Source organism: Homo sapiens, chromosome 12, assembly GCF_000001405.40.
Source record: "Homo sapiens chromosome 12, GRCh38.p14 Primary Assembly".
Lineage (NCBI taxonomy): Eukaryota > Metazoa > Chordata > Mammalia > Primates > Hominidae > Homo > Homo sapiens.
This window is the reverse complement of record NC_000012.12, coordinates 131,784,314-131,798,503: the sequence shown is the minus strand read 5'-3', so window position 1 is coordinate 131,798,503 and position 14,190 is coordinate 131,784,314. Positions and strand designations below refer to the sequence as shown.

General features: G+C 50.5%; 1 protein-coding gene across 7 annotated transcripts in view, besides 4 other annotated features; it reads right to left on the bottom strand.

Moving 5' to 3' along the window:
• The window catches only part of SFSWAP (splicing factor SWAP), an 88,649-nt gene that overhangs the window by 1,235 nt on the left and 73,224 nt on the right, over positions 1-14,190 (bottom strand). For 4 of the 7 annotated variants that reach the window (XM_024449125.1, XM_047429328.1, NM_001261411.2 and 1 more), the window contains 3 exons: positions 13,276-13,431; positions 11,916-12,041; positions 1,144-1,326 (listed from right to left, as the gene is read on the bottom strand). In XM_024449125.1, the coding sequence (XP_024304893.1) occupies positions 1,144-1,326; positions 11,916-12,041; positions 13,276-13,431 (465 nt within the window). The remainder of the gene's footprint in view (positions 1-1,143; positions 1,327-11,915; positions 12,042-13,275; positions 13,432-14,190) is intronic. The other 3 variants (XM_047429327.1, NM_004592.4, XM_017019798.1) reach the window with 1 other exon arrangement.
• Positions 265-1,086: an enhancer, noted in NCBI's record as "H3K27ac-H3K4me1 hESC enhancer chr12:132281963-132282784 (GRCh37/hg19 assembly coordinates)". NCBI's record gives its function as "activates a minimal SCP1, AML or CMV promoter by ChIP-STARR-seq in naive H9 embryonic stem cells {active_cell/tissue: H9 hESC(naive)}" and the evidence as "EXISTENCE:reporter gene assay evidence [ECO:0000049][PMID:30033119]".
• Positions 1,911-2,733: an enhancer, noted in NCBI's record as "H3K27ac-H3K4me1 hESC enhancer chr12:132280316-132281138 (GRCh37/hg19 assembly coordinates)". NCBI's record gives its function as "activates a minimal SCP1, AML or CMV promoter by ChIP-STARR-seq in naive H9 embryonic stem cells {active_cell/tissue: H9 hESC(naive)}" and the evidence as "EXISTENCE:reporter gene assay evidence [ECO:0000049][PMID:30033119]".
• Positions 10,642-11,142: an enhancer, noted in NCBI's record as "H3K4me1 hESC enhancer chr12:132271907-132272407 (GRCh37/hg19 assembly coordinates)". NCBI's record gives its function as "activates a minimal SCP1, AML or CMV promoter by ChIP-STARR-seq in primed H9 embryonic stem cells {active_cell/tissue: H9 hESC(primed)}" and the evidence as "EXISTENCE:reporter gene assay evidence [ECO:0000049][PMID:30033119]".
• Positions 12,598-13,797: an enhancer, noted in NCBI's record as "CDK7 strongly-dependent group 2 enhancer chr12:132269252-132270451 (GRCh37/hg19 assembly coordinates)". NCBI's record gives its function as "activates an origin of replication core promoter dependent on BRD2, BRD4, P300/CBP, MED14 and CDK7 cofactors, with strong dependence on CDK7, by STARR-seq in HCT116 cells {active_cell/tissue: HCT116}" and the evidence as "EXISTENCE:reporter gene assay evidence [ECO:0000049][PMID:35650434]".

The following is a 14,190-nucleotide window of genomic DNA, read 5'->3' as shown; positions in this document are numbered from 1 at the left end:
TTACCTTAAACACAAAGGAAAAAAGAAACAAAGAAAGGAAAGACTCAGCAGAACGGTGGAGCCTTCCCAGAACCACGGCCTTGGCTGTAGGTGCCCTCGGCCTGTGCATGAGGCGTCTGTGTGCTGGAGCCAACACCCCCTCCCCGCAGCGATGCTCAGCCTCCTACACTGATGTACATTTTATCATTATTACATTTTCAGAAACAGGGTCTCTCTCTGTCACCCAGGCTGATGTGCAGTGGTGCCGTCATGGCTCACAGCAGCCTCCACCTCCTGGGCTCAAGCAATCCTCTCACCTTAGCCTCCTGAGTAGCTGGGATTACAGACGCGTGCCACCTATTTTTAGTAGAGACAAGGTCCTGCCATGTTGTCCAGACTGGTCTCAAATTCCTGCCCTGGCCTCCCAAAGTGCTGGGATTACAGGTATGAGCCACGGCGCCCAGCCTGATTTACATTTTAACTCTAAAGGTGCCACCTCTTAGATTCTAATCCATCTCAAATTAGCTGAGGCCTCTGCCACTAGAATGGAACAGTTGCGCGTTACTCCCATGATTGACATTTATGGAAGCAATCAGTTTAAAGGGAGCAGCTGTTCCCAGATGCTGCCCTCTCTGGTCCCCCCAGGGTGTGGGTGCCTGGGCAGCGGAGGGTGTCTGACTTGAAGTCATTATCACCTAGCCCGGGACTGGGACGCCCACGTCTGTGCTGCTGCCCAGGTGTGATGCCCGGTGACAGGTTGGCGTCATTTGGCCCTGGCCGTTGCAGCCTGGGGACCTGCTCCAGCCACGGCAGCCTGGGGACCTGGTGACAGTTCCCGGTCTACTGGTCATTGCACAGCCCAGTGTGCCTGGTGGGCATCAGGCACGTGTGTGACACTTGGGCTGCTTCAAGTGGACTGCTCCACTCCTGGGCTCTGCAGGAGGGTCTCCCCAGTACAGGACCTGCTCCTCTGAGCGCTCATGGATTGTGAGAAGCCACATCTAGGGCGACTTCCTTGCTAGAGGGGGTGCGGTTTGGCTTTGTGGCTGGCGCCCCCTGGACACAGGCGAGTACTGACATAGGCAAGGACTCAGGGAGGAGGGAGAGTCCTGCTGGCCGCCCCTTGCCTTTCCCCAGAGAGAGCTGCTGGAGGACAGGGGTTACCTGGAGCGCTCCTGGCTGGAGCCCCGACTCTCCACAGGGGAGACGCTGGCTGAGTGCGCCGAGTGGGCCGCGGGGGCCGCGGGCCGGGGCGCTGCCTGCTTGCTGGGTGACACCGACTGAGACCTGGCCTTGGACTTGGTCCGCGACCGGGACCGCCTCTTCTTCTTCTTCTCGTGGGGACTTCTGAAAGGCAAGAGTTTCTGTGAGAGATGCAGCTTTGGTTTAAAGGCAGGGCACAAAGGGAGAAGCTCGGATCTGAGCCAGTTTTTGGCTAAGAGTTCATCAAGGCACAATTCAGGGACGGAACCACTCCAAACCCATTAACTTCTCTTAAAGCTACTTATTTCATTTAACTGATAACAGATGACGCGTCCCCATTTAGGACCTCAAGTAAAATATTTGTGGTATTTAAGATGCAACCAGCATTTTATTTACATGTAAAATACCTAAGATAAGCCACCACAGGCAGTTCATAGTGCTTTGCCACTTATGTTTCATCAATAAAAATTTCCAAAAAGATACAGGAAATTTATTAAAGTATCAATACATCAAAGTTTAGTGTTCCTTTTTTTTGAAAAAACAGACAAGGTCTCGTGCTGCTGTCCAGGCTGGAGTGCAGTGGTGCCATTACAGCTCACTGCAGCCTTCACCTCCTGACCTCAAGCAACCTCCTGCCTCAGCCTCCCAGACAGTTAAGACTAGGGGGCGCAGCTTCTGGTGCTGCTTCTTCCTTTTTCTTAAGAGATGGGGTCTCACTCTGTTGTCCAGGCTGGAGTGGCACTTCTTCCTGACCTGCCAGTTGTCCGCCGCTTGGTGATACCGCTTAGCCTCTGGGCAGTGGAGCCTGCTCTGTGGGCAGCAGCTCAGCTCTGACTGCTGTCCCCTGTCCCCTTGCTTCCCAGAGTCCACGTCACCAAACTGGCAATCCCGCACCAGAAATGCTTTCCAGACATTCTGGCCTGCACCTGCCCTTAGATCATCCTTCTCTCCTGCCTGGAGAGGCCGACCCTTCGGCTTCCACCTGGTCTAGCTTCATTCCACACCTGAGCCACGTGGCTGTCTTGGCCACTCCCCTACAAACACCTAAGAGAGTGAACATGTACTTGGTAAAGGCAGACAGGCCTGAGCCCTTCCTGTGAGGCCCTCCAGGCCCTGAGGTGCCCTACCTGGCATCTTCTTTCAGAATTCGTCTGTAACAGACGCTGCAGCCTGCGCTTCTGGCCCTGAGTACAGTGTTTCTTGGAGAGTCTTTGCATGGGTCATTTGCATCACTGATTTCCTTCCTTCCTTCCTTCCCTCCCCTCCCCTCCCCCTCTCCGCTCCCCTCCCCTCCCCTCCCCCTCTCCCCTCCCCTCCCCTCCCCCTCTCCCCTCCCCTCCCCTATCCCTCCCCTCCCGTCCTGCTTGCTGGTGCCTGGGCAGGACAGATCCCAGGAGTAGGGCTGCGGGGCCCTCTGCTGCAGAAGCTGCCAGGGGGACTCCCTGGCTCAGCCTCACGCTCGTTATCCAGGTGGACCCAAACTGCTCAATGTGCCAACCTGAAGGGGGAACCGTGGTTCTCTGCTGGTGTCTGACTCTCTCCTGGGGTTGCTATTTGCACAGCTGCAAGCGTCTGGCCTCCCTTATGATTCTGCGTGCCACGAAGCCCCTTCCCAGCCTGGCCTCCTCTGCCTTCCAGGGAGACCTCCAGGGCCTGTGCACAGGCCCAGTTACCCCAAGCCCTGCCCCTCATCAGGGCCTCCGGACTTCATGCATTTCTTGTGCCACCCCCCGATATCTGGGACATTCTTGCTTAATGGCTGGGGCTGTGCTCAGAGTCTGGGGTGCAGACCCCATCGAGGGGCTGTGCCCTCTACCCATCTCTAGGACCTCACCAGTGTCTGGCCCTGCAGAACTTAGACAGAGCTGCGGTAGCCAGGGACCACAGCATGCCCTGGTAGGGACAGCCCCGATATGCAGGGGGGGACTGAGCGTTTCTGTCCGGGCTCCCTTGTGTGGTTCTGGGCGTGAGCAGACTGTGTTGGTGCCAGTGAAGTGACCTAAGCAGCAGCGCCAGACCTGTGGCGCTCCCACCCAGCTCCATTCAAACAAGGCGGGACCTGCCAGAGACGGTGCTCGCTGGCAGCTTAAATCCAGCTGCTGGAGGGGCTGTCCCTGGTGAGCTGGGCCCGGGCAGATGACTTGGCATCTTCTGGAAGCCTGCCTGACGTGCCCAGTGAGGACAACATGTTGTTTACTGTTCAACACACGCATGTGGGACCTGCACGAAAGAGTCATTTTTCTAAACTGCAAAATGTTTTGTGAAATTGTTGTCTGTAAACACATGCCAGGATTTCAAAGGAAGCGGCAAATAAATAAAACATATACCAGCATGTGACATGTGTCCAAAATGACTTACTCCCCAAATCCAGCTGAGTTTATGTGGCTGCATAATGAACAAAAGGCAGGTTACTAATCCTTAACTGCAAACTGGTTCAATTCTGCTACAATCTGATCTAAGCCCTTGCTGAAGGAATGGAGCAACTCATTCATTTTTTTTTAAAGCACCGAGGTGCCACTGTCCATTGGGTGAAACGCTGTCCTCGGTGCTGCCGCTGAGCTTGGCAAGTGCGCACACCCTGACACCTGGGCCTTATCCACGCAGGGGCGTCCCTTCATTCCAGAAGGCTCCTCAATGCCACTTCAAGTCCGTCTATACCCCTTCTCCACCCTCAGCGTTCCCCACTGCTCTGGTTTCTAGGACACAGCTTAAAGCTCTATGTAGACAAACCCCACGCTATGTCTGTGTTTGTTTGTTGGTTTGGCTTCTTGGTTTTCTGTTGTTTGTTTCTCAGTTTCCCTCTGTTGCCCAAACTGGAGTGCAGGGGCATAATCCCTGCTCACTGTAGCCTTGACCTCCCAGGCTCCAGTGATCCTCTTGCCTCAGCCTCCCAAGTAGCTGGGACGACAGGCAGACGCCACCACAAATGGCTAATTTTTTTTTTTTTTAAGTAGAGATGGGGGTCTCTACCAAAAAAAAAAAAAGCCTGCAAATCCTGGGCTCAAGCAATCCTCCTGCCTTGGCCTCCCAAAGTGCTGGGATCACAGGTGTGAGCCACTGTGGCTGGCCTGTGTCTGGCTGCTTTTGCTCAGCAAAGCATGTCTGAGACTCCTCCACGACGCAGGGTGATCCTCAATTTGTTCCTTTTACCGATGAATAGTATTACAGGACAGGACGCTACCATTATCTGTTGATTCATTCTCCTGTTAATAGAGATTTGGTTGTTTCCAGTTTTCGGTAATTATGAATCAAAGTGTTTTTGGTTAAATGTTGACTTTATAGAGGAGTTCACAGCTAGGAACAGGACAGCTGGTCAGGGAGTAGGTGTGTACTTAACGTCACAAGAAACTGCACACGTTTCCCAATCCAGTGTCTGAGAGCGCAGCCGCTGGGCCCGTGCCCACTCTCCCCCGAGCCCGTCCTGGTTTTTAGGGACGGGTGACCCCCGTCTAGTCCTGTCTCGTTGGTTGCATCAGCACGTCCCTGACTGGTGACTCATGCCGTTCCACATCTTTCCATGTGTGTACCGGCTATTTAAGAGATCCTTCTGTCAAGTCGGCTGGCTTCATCTGCCCCCTTCTAATTGGGTCCTTTGTCTTTTTGGTACTGACACAGGCTTTTGTCAGAGACACATGCAGCAAAGCCTGCGGCCTGCCTATTCATCTTCTTAACTGTGCCTTTTGAGAGAAGTTTTTAAACTTCAATGAAGTCTAATTGGTTTTTTCCTCTTATCAGAGGAGTTTCTACATCTTAAGGAATCTTTGCCACCCTCAAATTCATGAACATATTCTGTGTTTTCTTCAAAAAGCTTAATGGTTCTAGTTTTTGTTTAGATCTCTGATCCGCCCTGAATTAAATTTTGCATACAGCATGCAGTGCACTTTTTCCCCATTCCGATATCCAGCTGTTCATGCAAGTTTTGTTGGAAAGAGTTTCCTGGCTGGGTGCTGTGGCTCATGCCTGCAGTCACAGCATTTTCGGAGGCCAAGGTAGGAGGACTGCTTGAGCCTGGGAGTTCAACATCAGCCTGGGCAACATAGCGAGACCCTGTCTCTACACACAATAAAAAAAAATTAGCTGGGCATGGTGGTGTGTGCCTGTGGTCCCAGCTGAGGTGGGAGGATTCCTTGAGCCCAGGAGGCTGCAGTCAGCCGGGCTGAGTCGAGATCACACCACTGCTGCACTCCAGCTTGGGCAACAGAGTGAGACCCTGTCTCAAAAAAAAAAAAGACTTTCCTTTCTCTTTTTCCTCACTGAATCGCTGTGGCTGTGGTCCCGGCCCCCTGCCCTTTGGGTATGGAATTTTTTTTCTGTACTTTCTATTCCATCCCACTGCTCTATTGTATCCTCATGCTGACACCACACTGCCTTGGTTACTGTAGCTTTCTGGTAAGTCTTGAAATCCTGCTCTTTGTCAAGGAGGTTGTTTTGGGTCTCCCAGGTCATCTGCATTTCCACACACGCTTTGGAGTTTGTGTGCCAATTTCTAGAAAAGCCGTGGGAGCTCTGAGTGGGACTGCACTGCATCTCTGCGTCAACTTGTGGAGAACAGGAGTCTCAGTAATACTTAGTTGGCTAATATTTTGTGAAGTATTTTTGCATCTATGTTCTTGAGAGTCCTGGTCTGTGAACATATACTTATGGGCACACACAGCACTGGTCTGTGAACACACATGCATGTGCACCAGTACTGATCTGTGAACACACATGTGCACACACAGCACTGGTCTGTTAACACGCATGCACACCAGTACTGATCTGTGAACACACACGGGCGCACACACAGTACTGATCTGTGAACACACACGTATGCACACACAGTACTGGTCTGTGAACACACACGGGTGCACACACAGTACTGATCTGTGAACACACACATATGCACACACAGTACTGGTCTGTGAGCACACACATGCACACCAGTACTGATCTGTGAACACACACGGGCGCACACACAGTACTGATCTGTGAACACACACATATGCACACACAGTACTGGTCTGTGAACACACACGGGTGCACACACAGTACTGATCTGTGAATACACACATATGCACACACAGTACTGGTCTGTGAACACACACGGGCGCACACACAGTAATGATCCGTGAACACACACGGGCGCACACACAGTAATGATCTGTGAACACACACGGGTGCACACACAGTAACGATCCGTGAACACACACGTGCACACACACAGTACTGATCCGTGAACACACATGGGCGCACACACAGTAATGATCCGTGAACACACACGTGCACACACACAGTACTGATCCGTGAACACACACGAGTGCACACACTGTACTGGTCTGTGCACACACACGGGTGCACACACAGTAATGACCAGTGAACACACACGTGTGCACACAGTACTGATCCGTGAACACACACGGGTGCACACAGTACTGATCTGTGAACAGACAAGGGTGCATGTGCACACCCCCTCCCCCAAACACAGAATCCTTATCTGGCTTAGGTATGAGAGTTATGATGGACTCAAGAGATGAGATGGGAAGTGTTCCTTCATCTATTTTTTAAAAAAGAGTATCCCTTCTTTCTTTCTTTTTGTTTTTTGAGACGGAGTCTTGCACTGTCGCGGGCTGGAACGCAATCTTGGCTCACTGCAACCTCCGCCTCCCGAGTTCAAGTTATTCTCCTGCCTCAGCCTCCCAGGTAGCTGGGATTACAGACGCACACTACCACACCCGGTTAATTTTTTGTACTTATAGTAGAGACAGAGTTTCACTATGTTGGCCAGACTGGTCTCAAACTCCTGACCTCGTGATCCACCTGCCTCAGCCTCCTGAAGTGCTGGGATTACAGATGTGAACCATCGTGCCTGGCCCCTCCTTTCTTGAATGTTAGAATTCACTGGTGAAGCCATCTGGGACTGGAGTTTGGTGGAAAAGTTTCGTTTATTTTTCTTTGAGATAGAGTCTCACTTTGTCACCCAGGCTGGAGTGCAGTGGCACGATCTTGGCTCACTGCAGCCTCCGCCTCCCAGGTTCAAGCAATTCTCCTGCCTCAGCCTCCCGAGTAGCTGGGATTACAGGCACTTGCCACCACACCTAATTTTTATATTTTTAGTAGTGACGGGGTTTCACCATGTTGGCCAGGCTGGTCTTGAACTCCTGACCCCAGGTGATCCACCTGCCTTGGCCTCCTGAAGTGCTGAGATTACAGGTATGAGCCACCGCGCCAGGCCAGGTCTTGCTCTTTAATCCACTCCACAATCACTGCCTTTTAACTAGTCTTTAGTCTTCTTACATTTAATGTAATTATTTTACAGATGGTTTTAAGTCTACAATCTTGTTTTTATTTGTCCCATTTGTTCTTTCCCCCACCTGCCCTTTTCTGCTGTTTCATGAATTTAAGAAAGCATCTAGAATCCTACTTTATATCTGCTATTGGCTTTTTAGCTACATTTTTGTTTTTAGTGGTTGCTCTAGGGAATTAGGTTATGCATCCTTCGCTTAGCAAAGTCTACCTGGAATTAACATTTCATGTATAAAGGCAGATCTTTACTGCAGCAGTGAACTCCCATTCACTCACTCAACAAACAGTTGTCCATGTGCCTCGTGCAGTGTTAAGTACTAGAAACTCAATGGGAAAAACTTGTAACTAATCATTCATTGTATTTGCTACAATAAGATAACCGGGACATCTTGTTGAAGTGTGCTACCAGAAGATTTGGTCAATATTCTTGTGAAAAGCCCTGGATGTGAACTCCTAGGCTCAAGAGATCCACTCAGCCCTCCAAGTAGCTGCGGCTGTAGGTGCCCGCCATTGTGCCTGGCTGAAAAACACTTTTATGACATACTCAAAATAACTTTCATGAATGTTGTTTTATATATTTCCACACTGTACCAAATTTTACTCCTAAAAATTCCTCATACGTCCACATCTGGATTTTCAAATATTCACTAAAAGGAACCAGAGGTCCTTGAAGAAATGGTAGATTCCAGGGCTGGAGCAGGGAAAATGCCCAGTAAACCTGGAACATCTTGTACCAAACGCAAGAATGCAAAGAACTATGGGAGGTGTCAAAAGAACAGAACTGACTTGGAAGGGTTGCCACTGGCCAAACTGGAGACAATGTCACCATCTAATAGAATAATAATAGCAATGGATTATCACACAACAAATAAAAAATCAAAACCAAAAATGCTCCTGAGTCCACGGTGAGATTTAAACAAAGGGGCAGGGTCTTCAGCATAAACACAGAAGGAAGAAGAGAGGGGGAAAGTCACTATTTTGCAGTCAGCAGTGTAAGAACTGATTCAGGCAGGGGTCACCCAGGGATGCTGAGACAAATGAGAAGACAGCTGCTGGGAGCAGGAGAGCCGCGCTGCTTCAGTGTCACCTCCTGGATTCCTCGCTGGTGGGGAGACGAAGGGGCAGATGCAGACTTAATCAAGTGGTCAAACTTAGCATCATGAATGATGGGACAAATGGACACTTCTGTGTGTCCTGATCTGTGATGCAATGGGAAGCTACGCAATGTCGCCTACGCAGCCAAAACATTTGCCCTGAACCCAGCCACGGGGACACAGCAAGACGAAGCCCAACTGTGGGACCATCTATAGTGGAGCTGGCCTGGAATTCTCAGGAATGCCAAGGTCATGAAATACACACACGAACGGAGGAGGGAGGGAGGGGAGTGGATGGGATGGGCGGGATGGGAAGGGGTGAGAGAGAGCAATGTGGCAAAATGTCAGCTCTTGTGGAACTGAGCTACAGATTTTATGCATATGGGTGTTTATTGTACACTTTTTTTTGAAAGAGAGGGTTTCACTCTGTTACCCAGGTGGGGGGTGCAGTGGCTATTCACAGGCACGATCACAGCCCACACTACAGCCTCCAACTCCTGAGCTCAAGTGATCCTGCTATCTTGGCCTCCAAGTGCTGGGATTATAGGTGTGAGCTACTGAATCTGGCCCCATTGTACTATTTTAAAAACTTGCCTATAAGTTAAAAAAGTTTCCAAGTGAGAAGTCAGTGAAAGAATCAGGCAATAATCAGTTTACAGAAATGACCCTTCAGGGCCGGGCATGGTGGTTTATGCCAGCACTTTGGGAGGCTGAGATAGGCAGACTGCTTGAGCTCAGGATTTTGAGACCATCCTGGGCAACATGGCAAAACCCTGTCTCTACTAAAAATACAAAAAATTAGCTGGGCATGGTTCCATGTGCCTGTAGTCTCAGCTACACAGGAGGCTGAGGTGGGAGGACGAGTTGAACCCAGGAGGTTGAGGCCGCAGTGAGCTGAGATTGTGCCACTGCACTCCAGCCAGCGCAATGGGAGTGAGACCCTATCTCAAATAAAAATAAAAAAGAAAAAGAAAAAAAGCAGCAAATCTCGGTAGTGGGCATTTCCCTGGGTTTGGTCTGGTGCTGTCACAGCATTAAAGTGACAGCAACTTGGTAGCTGAATTATGTGCACTAAGCCACAGCAAGGAAGTGGACGCCCGCTCTGAGACAGGGACACGGGCTGGCTGTAGGATTAATATAATGATTGCTAATAAAACATATTCTGTACCAGGCATGGGAGCTCATGTCTGCAATCCCAGTACTTTTGGAGGTTGAGGCAGGTTGATCACTCGAGGCCAGGAGCTTGAGAGCAGCCAGCCAGGCATGGTGGTGACAGCCTGTGGCCCCAGCAACTCAGGAGGCTGAGGTGGGAGGATGGCTTGAGCCCAGGAGGTAGAAGCTGCAGTGAGCTGTGATTACGCCACTGCACTCCAGCCTGGGAAACAGGGTGAGACCCTGTCTCAAAAAAAAAAAACGCCCCCAAAAGAAAACAAAACCAAACCCATATTCTGGATTTATAGACTAACTGGGGGCTTGTAATTAAGAATACAAAATTAACCAGTAATTACACACGTATTCACCTCTATTGAGTTCCTAGTGAATCACAGTTTAACACTCCGCAGACTTTGGTTTGCAGGTTTAATTCCGTCTGTCTGGGCACGGCAGCTCAGGGCTCAGCACTGCACTGAGTCTAACCCTTTGCTTCTCTTGTGTGACCTGTTAGTGCTCGGTGAGAATGTCAGCAGGTCACGCGAGTCTGGCGTCTGAGTGTGCTGGCTGGCCATCAGGACGCTGCTACTTCCAGATACAATCACTACTTGCTCACACGAGGTCTCTCTTAAAGCAAAGGTTAATGTGAAGGCAAAGCAAGGCCTCTTCTGTTGAGACGGAATTAATTTCTAACCATGCCCTTCACATATACCAAAGGTGATGGTGAATTTCTGATGTGAAATTACTTGTTTAAGGGATGGATGCTAACATTTTAATTTTCATCAGATTGTATGAGAGCAGACATGAATGCTCAGTGTAGGATTACTAAGGAACAAAATGTAATTTATAAACAGAGCCAGGTGTACATGAAACATTGCTGGTATCTATCCGCTTTATAGTTCCTTTGCTAATTTTTCTGTTTTAAGAAAAAAATCACATCTTGTCAACGGAGGGAACCGTGGTACTAGGCCAACCGCAGCACGGTCTTCTTGCCCAGGGTGCTGTGGGGAGGACCTGCTGTGGCTCTCTGCCTAGTGTGTGCCTTGTGGCTAGGCAGTGTGGGTGATGGCTGGGACCATCCGTCCCAGGAGCAGGAGGGTCCCAGTGTGTGGGTGATCCTGGCAATGTAAGGCTCGTCCTCTGGAAGGCTCTGGGACCCTGAGTGTCCTGACCCCCATGCACTTAGCAGTGCCGTGTTATGAAGCTCAAGGCTACGATGTGCAATGCTCCATCCTTCTCTGTGTAGCTCCAGACGCAGACACGGTCCACCCACACAGCCAGGAGGCTGCACGAACTCCACATGGGGACACAAAACAAGCTCCTTGTGCTTGGAAAGAGTGGAAATGCACGGCTGCCCCACGCAAGGCACTGGGTGGTGACATCAGTGGGTGAGAACCAGAGGAGGCGCTCGTGAGATGGCACCCCCACGGCCGAGAGGGTAGTGCTCACTGGCGGCACCAATGGAGGTGGCCGTCCACAGCTACTGGAAGCCGGGGTGAGCGGACAGATGGTGGACCTATTTCCTGAAGTGAAAGGTGGAACCTCTACTGAGTGCCAGGCACTGAGTGAGGGGTGAGCCCGTGGCACCCTGGGCTGTCAGAGGCCCTGCCAGGCACCACGGCTGGGGCTTCTACTTGATGAACATGAATGCTAACCTCCCTCCATCTCCTGCTCCAACCAAGACAGGCTCTCCTTAGTGGTCAAGAGGTAAGCGATGGATGCTCCCTGCCCTCTAGGCCCCAACAGGACTCTGTGGCCTCTCCTGGGAGCTCCAGCCTGGGCCGTAGTCACCGTCACACAGCAGCCAGGCAACCACAGTGACTGCCCTTGAGACCAGGAGGCTTTAGGACCGGAAGCTTGCATTTTCCTTCTGTTTGTGCCTTCCTGTCCTCTCCACCAGCAGGTAGAGGGGCAGCAGCTGCATGTGGACCCAGCCGAGGTACCAGCACAGTGGAAAGCTGGACACGAAGCCAGGCCGTGCAGAGCCCCGGTGGGTAAGTGACCCCCGCCCACCAGACACAGGAGCTCAGTGTGATCAAGTGTCAACAGTGATGGCCATGCCACTGGGGGTGGGGGGGTGGTGGGGGACTCAGCACCTCCCTCTGGTCATCCACAGCTCTGCTCACAGATACCCGACCTTCAGACGCCCTTTCCACCCAGGGAAACCTGGCCCACATCCAGCACCTGCGTGCACACCCAGTGGCCTACCTGGAGCGGGTCCGCTTCCTACTGGCCCCAGGGCTGCGGCTCACGCGGTAGGCAGTGGGCACACTCCTCTCTTCCCTCCGTCTCTCAGGGGAGTGGGCTCTCCTCCGAGGGGACCGGGAGCGGGACCTGGACAGGGGAGGAGGCAGTGTTCAGCTCTGTGGCCTGGCTGGCGGGACGTGTCATGCTTCCTACTGCCCTGGCAGAGATCAGGCCCCGTCTGCAGAGGCTGCTCCTCAGGGTGGTGCCTGTGTAGACCCTGAGGCTTCAGAGAACCCCTGCCACACTTCACTACTTTACCGACAACGAACTGAAACCCGAATCCAATCTCAGAGGCAGAGATGGTCTCTCTCCCGTTCCACACACTTATCGCACCAAGGACAAACTTTTAACCAACATGCAACTGGCGTGGAGGCTGGAGCTGCTTCACGTGGTCAATGGCAACCAATTCCCCATGAGCCACGGTCTGAGTATGCAGTTCATGACCACCTCAGGCTGGCGCTTCCTCTTCCTTCCTCCTGCCTCTGCCCATTTTATCTCCCTATACATTTCAGCTCATTGATGTTTCTACCAACATGAGGTAAGAAAAGGCAATCAAACTCCAGCGAGTCATGTCTACCTGTCTGAATACCGGCAGTAAGAAACCCAACGGTAATGAAGCTAGAGGCCTACCTGGAAATTTCTCCTGTTCACACTAATCTTACAGCCTCTCAGCACAGATACTCAGGAACAGGCTGTGGTGCGCTGGCATGAAGCCTGAAACCTTCAATCCAATTTGGAAATGCCAGTCTCACGACAGCTTCAGCTAACTTAAGTTTATGCGATTTCACAGATGCAAAGCCACCCATTAACACTGATTCCTCCTCCTCATGTGCCTGGAAAGGACTCGTCCCTCTCCTGTGGTGACATAATCCACACGCGGCCAAGGACCCTGAGACCCGCGCCCCTCCAGGGGTGATGCTCTTTAGTGGAGGCCCCTTAGCGATGAGTTTGGGACCTTCATTTTAGTTCTTTGTTCATTCAGTAAAGCTACTATTTTGGGAAGACCTGCAATGAGCACAAATCTGGAAAAAAAACACCATTTATTTCCATTTTGTTTCCATGACAACTCATTCAAAAACAATATAAAGAAGAGCGGTTTGATTTTGCCATTTGAAAAAGTTCTACGTTGAATCATTTTCATGACAATAAACCGCAAATGCCACAGGCTGTGCTTCTGCAGATCAGCTCGGGATCACTCAGACCCCGGCATCCTGGAGGGCCAGGAGTGGCTGCCCTTTAACGGACAGAATCGTTTTGATTTTTTCCCAGACCTTTCCTAAGATTTACAGAACAGATGATAAAGGCGAGGTCAGTTAGACACCTTGACGTTTTACCAGGTTTTCCCTCAAAAGAGCTCGCGGAGTCAAATCTGGTGGTGGTCGAGGCTGCCTGATAACTTCCTGGCTCGGCTGCCGCTGTCACTGACGCGCTGCTCTGACAGGGCTCCGCGCGCAGCGTCCCTGGGGAGGCTGTGACTCTGTGACACGGAGGCACACACTTCACATTCAGAATAAAAGGTGCTGGGCTGGGCGCTACCAGAACTCTGAAAAAAGCTCTGCTTATTCAAAGCTATAGCGGCTGGGGAATGCTTACACGTAGAATTCTACAATAAACTCAATAATCAGGAAAAATAAGTTAGTTTTTAAGGCCTGCAAATTCTTAACTTTGAAATACAATACCATTTTGTCATGGCTATTAGTAATAGAATTCTTTAAAGGGAAGTGGCTGTTACCAGTAGATTTTCAAGTTATCTGGGGAAAACGCCCATCTTAGAACGAGGGGCTACATACCATTAGACAATTCTCTAAGTTTGACTTTAGCTAAAGAAGCTTTAATGCTTTTTATTCTGTTAATTAGGCTTCTCATATTGACCCCACAACATGGTGCAAGAAACAGGAGTTCCATTTAATAAGCAAATCATCCGTATAATGTGACCAGGGGCCTTCTTAAAGATGAAATGGTCTGAATTAAACACTTGCAAGCATAACGTGACTCACAGTTTTTTTTTTTCCTCAAAAAAGCATAATGGTTTGCTTTCAAATAGAAACATAATGAGACTTTTTTCAATGATAACAGTCCAGAAATTTTATCTGAATGACAGTGGTCATATTCATAAATAGCCTCTTTTCTCCAACATTTAACCATTTCATCTACTCCACTTCCTCCATTCACGTCTCTACCCACGGCCTTTCTGTCACGGAATTCTCTGTGCAGATGACTCAGCATCAAGGTCTGG